The sequence below is a fragment of the Homo sapiens genome, chromosome 10 (assembly GCF_000001405.40).
Source record: "Homo sapiens chromosome 10, GRCh38.p14 Primary Assembly".
Taxonomy (NCBI): Eukaryota; Metazoa; Chordata; class Mammalia; order Primates; family Hominidae; genus Homo; species Homo sapiens.
The window spans coordinates 15,882,652-15,892,642 of record NC_000010.11 but is presented as its reverse complement, the minus strand read 5'-3'; the positions used below and the strand labels follow the sequence as shown (position 1 = coordinate 15,892,642).

At 41.8% G+C, this 9,991-nt stretch overlaps 1 non-coding gene across 1 annotated transcript; it reads right to left on the bottom strand.

The window, feature by feature from the left end:
* Positions 1 to 6,177: 6,177 nt before the first annotated feature.
* On the bottom strand, positions 6,178 to 6,285 carry LOC124902582 (small nucleolar RNA U13). Its single transcript, XR_007062415.1, has one exon. It is a non-coding gene; the product is annotated as a small nucleolar RNA U13 (small nucleolar RNA).
* Between the last annotated feature and the right edge of the window lie 3,706 nt (positions 6,286 to 9,991).

The window sequence follows — 9,991 nt, the reverse complement described above, 5'->3', positions numbered from 1 at the left end:
ATGACATAATCTATTTCCTTGGCCATATTTCATACACTAAGGATAGACATCATATATGTGTATATTCTTGGTCCAAGTCTCTCTAGGAATTTGAAGCTGGAATTTACAGAATGCCAAGCAGTGTCTAGATATAGCTGGACTGTAATACATAAAGTTGGGAGTTCTGGGATAGACATAACCCACCACATGGATCATGGAATTAAACAGAGAGAGAAATGAAAGATGAAGAATACTGACAACTTTTTAATACGTGGGTGAGACTTTTCTTGGGACATTTCTCATAAGAAGTAGCCTTGGGATCCTTGAGATCTCTTTGTTTTGTTAAAATAAATTCCTTTTTTTCTTTGTTTTGACTATTCAGGTTAGCATGTTTTTTTTTTTTTTGCAACCACACACACACACACACACACACACACAAACACACACACAGATGTTTGGTAACCTGTCTTTTCTCATTCAGTAATATCATAAGAACCTTTTTCATATTAATAAATATAGATTTACCTCTTCTACATCAATTACTGCATAATTTTGCATTGAAAAATGCCCCATAACTTATTTAACTAATCCCTGTTTTGTGCATGTTTTGCTTTAATTAACAATCTTTACACATACATCTGCATACTTAATTGATAATTTCCTTAGGACAAATTTATAGTAGCATACGTACTGGATCAAAGAGTGAATATTTCTTTTAAGACTTTTGAGACATGTTGACAAATTATCTTAAAAATATGTAACAATTCATCAAAAATAGCTGTAAGTATTTACTAGTTCAATAGGAGGTGAGACACACATCCTGTTTTAAGGTACACCCCTTTGATCACTAGAGCAGTACAATATTTATTCACATGTAGGTCATTTTCTTTCTTTGTTAATTATACTTTTACATTCTATTCTTAATTCTTTTTTTTCTTTTTTTTTTTTTTTAGATGGAGTCTCACCCTGTCACCCAGGCTGGAGTGCAGTGGTGCAATCTCGGGTCACTGCAACCTCCACCTTCCGAGTTTAAGAGATTCTCCTGACTCAGCCTCCCAAGTAGCTGGAATTACACGTGCACGCCACCACACCCAGCTAATTTTTTGTATCTTTCGTACAGATGGGGTTTCACCATGTTGGCCAGGCTGGTCTCAAACTCCTGACCTTGTAATCAGCCCGCCTCGGCCTCCCAATCTTAACTCATTTTTATAAAGGTATATGGTTTTGTGTCCTTGATTTGTAAGAGATCTTTTAAATATATTAAAAGTAAGGAGTTCTGAGATAGACCGGGATCATGGAATTAGAGAGGAGATGAAAGATGAAGAATACTGACAACTTTTTAATATTTTAAATATATTAAAAGACATTTTAAATATAAATCTTAGTCCTTTTTTAGCATATGTGCTACACATATATTTCCCTAGTTTGTTATTTAACTTTCATTTTTCTGTCTGGTGGATTTACGACCATTTTGTTTTAAATTTTTCTTAATTTATCATATGGCAATCTTAACCTTCTACATTTCTGCCTCTGAGAATACACTTAGAAATTCCTCTTGCATTCCAAGATTACATAACCAGTCAATTGGTTCTCTTAGTTTTTCCAGGAAGGGAATCATATGATCATCTCTGTTCTATTATTTAAAACTGTTTTTCCTTTCTTCTTCCTTCCTCCTTTTTCTTTGTCTCATTACATTGACTAGAATTTCCAAAAAAGAAAAAAGCAACATAGATAGTAGGCATCCTATGTCTTATTCCAAATTTCATTGGAAAAACTTGTAGTGTTTTTCTGTTAAGTCGATGTTCGGCAATTGGATTCTGAAGCACACTGTTTATGCTACCAAAGTAACTTGCTGTTCACAGCTTCCTGGGAGGTTCTGTGCAGATTGGAAGCTGACTTTGCAAATGCCGCTTCAGCATCTCTAGAGCTAATTTTTTCTCCTTTGACCTATTGATGAGATAAATTATATTAATAGATTTTCTGATATTGCACCATCCTTAAAATCCTAGAAAAAATTTAATTTTGTTATGATGGCATTATATGTTTTAATTCCTCTTTGAAAACCTTAAGATTTAAATTCTTAAGTATTACTTATTTATCATTTTTATTTTTCTACATCTTTTTCAAGTACTTATAGTATGAATACACTAGCTATAGAAAAAGAATTCAAAATGTAATTTCCTATTACTGTCTAATAACAGTTAACTGTGCAGAGGAGGTCTGTTCTATTATTCACCCTTTCTCTGGTGATAGTAACTACCCCTCTCTCTGTTCTTAACCATGTGGTTTTGTGGGGGTTTTTAAAACTTTTTTTATTATGGAAATTTTCAAACATATGGAAAAGTAGGGGAATACAAGTAAACTGAATACAAAAATAGGGGAATACAGTAAACTGAAATACAATGAATCCATCATTTGGTCCCAGCTTCAAAAATGACCATATTCTTCACAATTTTTGTGTGTGTGTGATTTTAAGGAGCAGAGAGTTTAATAGGCAAGAAAGACAAGAGAAGGCAGAAGGAAGAAGCTTCCCTGTACAGAGACAGGGGGTCAGAGAGGGCTCCAAAGCCAAAAGAGGAGGTCCCTCCCCAATTTTTTCATTTATTCCCCCTCATGTTTTAAAAATTTAATGCTTGGCATCGTGTGATTTCACAGTAAATTCTTCATGATGTATCTTTTTTTTTTTTTTTTTTTTTTTCTTTTTTTGAGACGGAGTCTCGCTCTGTCGCCCAGGTCGGACTGCGGACTGCAGTGGCGCAATCTCGGCTCACTGCAAGCTCCGCTTCCCGGGTTCACGCCATTCTCCTGCCTCAGCCTCCCGAGTAGCTGGGACTACAGGCGCCTGCCACCGCGCCCGGCTAATTTTTTGTATTTTTAGTAGAGACGGGGTTTCACCTTGTTAGCCAGGATGGTCTCGATCTCCTGACCTCATGATCCACCCGCCTCGGCCTCCCAAAGTGCTGGGATTACAGGCGTGAGCCACCGCGCCCGGCCCTTCATGATGTATCTTTAAAGGATGCAGTGAAATGAACCAATGAAGTGCCTTAGTTCTTTAAGCTTAGAAGTTTTTGGTTGGTTTTTTACTTCAAGCAAAACAACTTAACTAAGGAAGATAGCACAGTTTGTGTGTCTAGAACATTTCACAGGCCTTGCTCATACATTCCTGAGTTTAATATGTTTGAGAGACCACTCCTCTAACGTAATCTTCGCATTTCTTCTATGATTATTAATCAGAGTTCCTCTCATATGCTTTATGTGTTGTTTCAAAAATAAACTTTTCTCTTCACTGCTTTTGGTTTATTATTTTCTCCTTTTTTCTCTATTTCTCCTATACCTTTCTCCTATAGCTCTTTGGTATATTTTAATGTTCCTTTATTAGGTTTTATTGAACGGTACTTTAGTTAACTTATATCTATGACTTGTTGCTAAATAATAAACAATGAGGTCATGAATTTCTCATATTTTATAAAGTTAATAGTTTTACTTTGGTCCAGAAGTTATACAGGAAAATACATGTTTCTAAGTAGTTAATTTTTATTATTGATCTTTTGTTATTAATTTCAATATGATGCCTTTGTGATTAAAGAATGTGTTCTGCACACTTTACACATTTACTGAGAAATATATTTGTGGCCGAATACACCATTGATTATGAGAAATGTTCGAAGGCACCGCTTAAGAGAATGTACATCCTCAATATAAAATGCAAAGTTTATAATATTTATACATGTGTCCTAATCTGCTTCATGTTGCTATAACAGAATATTTGAGACTGGGTAATTTACAAGGAAAAAAAGGTTTATTTGGCTCATGGTTCTGATGGTTGGAAAGTCCAGGATTGGACTTCTGCATGTGGTGAGGGCCTCAGGCTGACTCTACTCATGGCAGAAGGTGATGGGAGCTGGTATGTGCAGAGATCACACGGCAACAGAAGAAGCAAAAGGGAAAGTGGGGAAGTGCCAGGAGCTTTTTAACAACCAGCTCTCTCGGGAGCTAATAAAGTGAGCACTCACTAACTGCAAAGGAAGGCCACTAATCTATTCACCAGGGATCCTCCCTCATGACCCAAACTCCTCCCATCACCCCCACCTCCAACATTCGGGGTAAATTTCAACATGAGGTTTAGAAGGATGAAACATCCAAACCATAGCAACATGTATGTATGTAACTGTAAAATCAACATTTTTTGTTGTTATATTAGTCACAGTGTATTTCCAGAAATACAGAGGACCATATATCCTGAAAAATTCTCCCAAACTACCCAGGAATGAAATACACCTGTAATCCCAGCACTTTGGGAAGCCTAGGTGGGTGGATCACCTGAGGTCGGGAGTTTCAGACCAGCCTGACCAACATGCAGAAACCCCATCTCTACTAAAAATAAAAATAATAATAATAATAATTGGCCAGGTGTGGTGGCATATGCCTGTAATCCCAGCTGCTCAGGAGGCTGAGGCAGGAGAATCCCTTGAACCTGGGAGGCAGAGATTGCTGTAAGCCGAGATTGCGCCATTGCAATCCAGGCTGGGCAACAAGAGCGAAACTCCATCAAAAAAAAAAAAAAAAAAAAAAAAAAGAAAGAGAGAGACAGAGAGAGAAAGAAAGAAAGAAAGGTAGATAGATAGATAAAACAAGCCTCTTTAAATGAAGAGCCAAGCATCCAAGTATAAGAAAAATTCTTAGGAAAAAAAATAAGGTGTTTAGAAAGCTGAAACCTGAGTGGTAGTTGAAGCTGAAATTTATGGATCATGTGTTTTGTGAAACTTCTAGGGAGCAGGAAACAAGGCCTTGCACCTACTTAAGGGAACTGGGACTGAGGTGCCCACCACCCACGCTTATTAAAGGTTGCAGGGTTTATCACATACGTAAAAGTAAAAGGACTGGCAATAATAGCCCAAAGAACAGCAAAGATGAAATATAGGTACAACATTGTGAGATTTGTATACTCTGTATGAAGTGGTGAAAGTAGATGGTAATTTATTAAAGACATATAGTAAACCGGCCAGGCGTAGTGGCTCATGCCTGTAATCCCAGCACTTTGGGAGGCTGAGGTGGGTGGATCACCTGAGGTCAGGAGTTCGAAACCAGCCTGGCCAACATGACGAAACCCCATCTCTACTAAAAATATAAAATTTAGCTGGGCGTGGTGGCGGGTGCCTGTAATCCCAGTTACTCAGGAGCCTGAGGCAGGACAATCTCTTGAACCTGGGAGGCAGAGGTTGCAGTGAGCCAAGATTGGGCCACTGCACTCCAGCCTGGGCGACAGAGTAAGATTCCATCTAAAATAAAATAAAATAAAATAGATACATAGCAAACCTAGAACAGCCACTAAAAGATAAAGCCAACAAAGGAGATAAAATGGAATTCTGAAAAATACTCATTTGTTCCAAAAGAAGGCAGGAAAAAGAGGGAGGGAAAAAACAAATATAGGACTAACAGGAAACAAATAGCAAGAGTTAAAGATTTAAAGCACAGTAACTTGATAAATACATTGACTGTAATTTAAGTGAACCCAGTGGACTCAGAGTGAAACAGACCTGGGCCAGGACTTCATCGATTTCCTTTCCCCTGTATACACGTGTCTGGGGCGTGGGATGGGGGCTCTGTGGGGGAATGATACTACTTAGGGTCTTTGGATATCAGTTCCATCTTGGATCTGTATCCAACAGCTTGCAAGATAGCTGGGTCTTGTCCTTTCTCCAGTGTACATTTATCCAAATAAATGGCTCTAGGTGTCTTTGCTGAAGGATTAAGACAATCACTATTTCATACACGTGCTGTGGAGTTGCAGAGTTCTTTTCTGTGAAGACTCTAGCTCTCTTCTTCAGTCGATGAGTTCAGAGTGAGAAAGCTCAAGCCTGGGTACTGGACAAGGGCTAATTTTTTTTTTTTTTTTTTTTGATACAGGATCTTTCTCTGTCACCCAGGCTGGAGTGCAGTGGTGCCATCATAGCTCACTGCAGCCTTGAACTCCTGGACTCAAGCAATCCTCCTGCCTCAGCCTCCCGAGTAGCTGGGGCTACAGACATTTACCACCGTGCCTGGCTAATTTTTTTTGTTTTTAGTAGAGACAGGGTATCACTGTGTTTCCTAGGGTGGGCTCGAACTCCTGGCCTCAAGCAATCCTCGTGCCTTGGTTTCCCAAAGTGCTGGGTTTACACACATGAGCCACTGTACCTGACCTGTTTGCTTTTTCCATGTGAGATGGGTAATGTGCCCATGTTGCAATAAGGTTTGGGAGTGACACATCTCACACATGCATGCATGTGAATACTCAATCATCACACTTACAAACTACCAGAGGATCTCATCATTTTCTGTTGAAGCACCCACCTCAGCCTCTGCTCATCCATGCTTTTTTTTTTTTTTTGAGATGGAGTCTCACTCTGTCGCCCCTGCTGGAGTGCAGTGGCATGATCTCAGCTCACTGCAACCTCCACTTTCTGAGTTCCAGTGATTCTCCTGCCTCAGCCTCCCAAGTAGCTGGGATTCCAGGTGCGTGCCACCATGCCCAGCTAATTTTTGTATTTTTAGTACAGATGGGGTTTCACCATGTTGGCCAGGATGGTCTCGATCTCTTGACCTAATGATCCACCCACCTCAGCCTCTCAAAGTGCTGGGATTACAGGCGTGAGCCACCACACCCGGCCCGTTCATCCACTCTTTATGTCTTTTGACTGCATACAGCAAGCAAGGCCTTTATTGACAGCTTCTTTGGACACTGTGATGCACCACTCAGATGTCCCTTCTATGAAAGGCTTGAGGTCCCAGATGCTGGGATGCTCTCTGAAGACACCTTTGAACTGCCAGCATCCTTACGTATCATCCAGCTGTGGAGACACTGTCAGCTAAGGTCATGCTCCTTCCCAGAATGGCCCACATCCAGTGACTGCTTGGTGCAGGAATATAACGGGCTAGCATCCCCACTCAACTCAAGATAATACTAAAGGGCCATTTCAGCTCCAGGGCTCCCCTGCAGTCAGCCAAGACTGGTGTTGGGTCTGCCACAGAGCTGGATTTCCCTCCGCCCAATCCTGCTTCCATAACCTGCCTTCCACAGGTATTGACTCCAAGTGCACCCTAAATTCTGCCCTAGAGCCTGCGACAGTTGATCCCAGAAGTATTCTGTGAAAGCAGGAGATAAGATGGGGTTTTGAAGATAGCACCTGCCACTGGCTGCAGTAAGGACCACATCCGTAGGGTTAGGCAGAACACAGGTGCTCCCAGAAACTTTCGCTGGTGGTAAACCGGGATGGCAGATCAGTAGTACAGGGGTGCACTAGCTGGTATATCAGAGATTTGAGAAAGATGGAGGGAATCACAGCTACAAGGTCAAGAAAATTGGATGAGTAGGGTTCAACTGTGTTAAACTCTGGAAATAAGTAACAAAAATCTGAGACTTATTAATGGAAAACTATGTCTGAAAGCCAGATGGTGTTCTTTGTCATATACCTCTCATTGGGAGGGCAGTGAGAACTGAGGGCCATGTCCAGGTATGAATTGTGGAGGTGACTGAGCTCCAGGGAGAGTTAAACTAAAATCAAAGACAGATCCACTATTCTGAGGTCAGGGTTTGGTTTAGAAAGAATAGATCCTGGCCAGGCACTGTGGCTCATGCCTGTAATCCCAGCGCTTTGGGAGGCTGAGGCAGGCAGATCACTTGAGCCCAGGAGTTTGAGACCAGCCAGGCCAATATGGGGAAACCGTTTTCCTACCAAAAATACAAAAATTAGCTGTATATGATGGCCCATGCCTGTAATCCCAGCTACTCAGGTGGCTGAAGCAGGAGAATCGCTTGAACCCGGGAAGTGGAGGTTGCAGTGAGCCGGGATCGTGCCACTGCACTACAGCCTCAGTGACAAGAGCAAGACTCCATCTCAAAAAAAAAAAAAAAAAAAAGGAAGGGAGGAAGGGAGGAAGGGAGGAATGGAGGAAGGGAGGAAGGAAGGGAGGAAGGGAGGGAGGGAGGACGAGAAGAAGGGAGGGAGGGGAGGAAAGGAAGAAAGTCAGAAAGGGAGAGAGAGAGGGAAAGAAAGAAAGAAAAAGAAAAGAAAAAAGAAAAGGAAGGGAAGGGAAAGAAAAAAGGAGAGAGAGACAGGGAGAGAGAGTGGGAGAGAGTCCTGACACACAGGAAGGGGGTATCTGGTTTGATGCTCTCCCCAAATCTTGAATTCCTAGATGTCTTTGACTCCTTGGAGCCTGCACAAATGCCCATTCTTTGTGTTAAAAGCTAGCATGCTCCACCTTGCCTGAAGACAATGCTAGAAATCTTTCCCTTGCAAGTTGAAATGTGCCCCACCTGAGATCTGCTTTTAAGTCCTTTCCTGGCCTCTCTAGGCCTATAAGCCAGGTGAAGTCCTAACTTAAGCCAGTCAAGAATGTGCTGGGCCTGATAAGGAAAGAAAGGAAACTATACTTCAAAAGGATCTGCAAGACTTAGCCTGTGCACACTAGAAATATATATTCAACAGTGAGCTCTGCAGTTGGTCCCACTAACCTTCCTCTTCCTGGTATCCCACAGACACACCAGCTGGAAGAGCAGTTCCTAGAAAGCATGTGACAAAGTAGACACAAGAGGTAGACTGTAGTGAACACTCTAATACATCACCCAGGTCCCCAGTAAATTAAGGGCTCATGGCTCCAGTTTTTAGGGATGTTATTGTCAGATATGCTTCAGTTGACGAACCTTTTGGGATCTGTCAGTGGCAGAGAGCTGCCTTACCCAACATTATACCCCATGATGGTTCATTTTATGGTTCAACCTGCCTGGGCCAGGAGATGCCCAGATATCTGGTGACACATCCTTTCTAGGTATGTCTAGGAGGATGTTTCTAAAAGGGATTAGCATTTGACAAAGTAGACTGAGTAAAAAAGATGCCCTCCCCAATGTGAATGGGCATCATCCAATCCATCGAGGACCTGAATAAAACAAAAAAAGGGAAGAAAGTTTGAATTCCCTCCTTATCTGATTGCTGGAGCCTGGACATTGATCTTCCCCTGCACTCAGCACTCCTGCTTCTCAGGCCTTCAGTCTTGGAGTGGAATCTAGAGAACCAGCTTTCCTGGATCTCCAGCTTGCAGGTGGTAGAATCACATCCGCCTCCAGAATCAGCCTCCATAAGCCTCTACAGTCATATGAGCCTATACCTTATAATAAATCTCTGGAGCGAGATGGAGATTCAGATGTCTGTCCCATTAGTTCTGTTCCTCTGCAGAATCCTGACTAATACCTGCCCCTTCCCAAGGTGGCCAACATCTATTCATTGATCAGTGTGGGACAATAAGGCCTGGCCATCCCAACCCAACTTGGAACACTGCTAAAAAACTATGTGAGTTTCACAGCTTACCCTGCGGGTCAGCCAGGCTTGTATGAAGTTCATTTCCCTCGGCTTAATGCCACTTTCTTTCCCTCAGTTTCATGAGTTTCAATCCCAAGGACATACCTGAGTGAACAACCTGCTTCCTAAACACCAGCCTCTTTCTAGAAAACCCAACCTGTGACAACGGCTCAGCACTCTTGCCCTTAGGAGAACCATGTCATCTCCCAAGTTCCCTGCAGATCAGTTTCCCCTGAATGAAATTCCAGTCTTGCTACCTGTTATAGTAATTATGTTCATCTTTCTTCTGATTCTTAAAGGCTGCCTCCTGGCCTCTGCTTTCCTGGGATCTAGTACCCTCGTTGCTACTAAAATGCTCGGTTCTGCAACACCATCAGCTACCTTCAGCCCCAACCTACAGAAGACAGACTTTCCTGAGGTTCTCAAAATGCTGGTGCCCCTTCACCTCACCAGGGCATTTCTTATCAATTGGGCAAATGTAGTATTTTCTAGACCCTCCTGAGGACAGTCAGCTGGTGGGTTTTCTGGTTAGGTACAGTAGACTCATTATAGCATTTTCAAGTCCTTGAACACCCCTTTCTCCACAATCTCTCATGGATTTTCTGGCATCTCTACTTCTGTTAAGAGGTGTATCAGTTTTTCCAAGCTAAAACCATGCTTACTAACTGTTATTT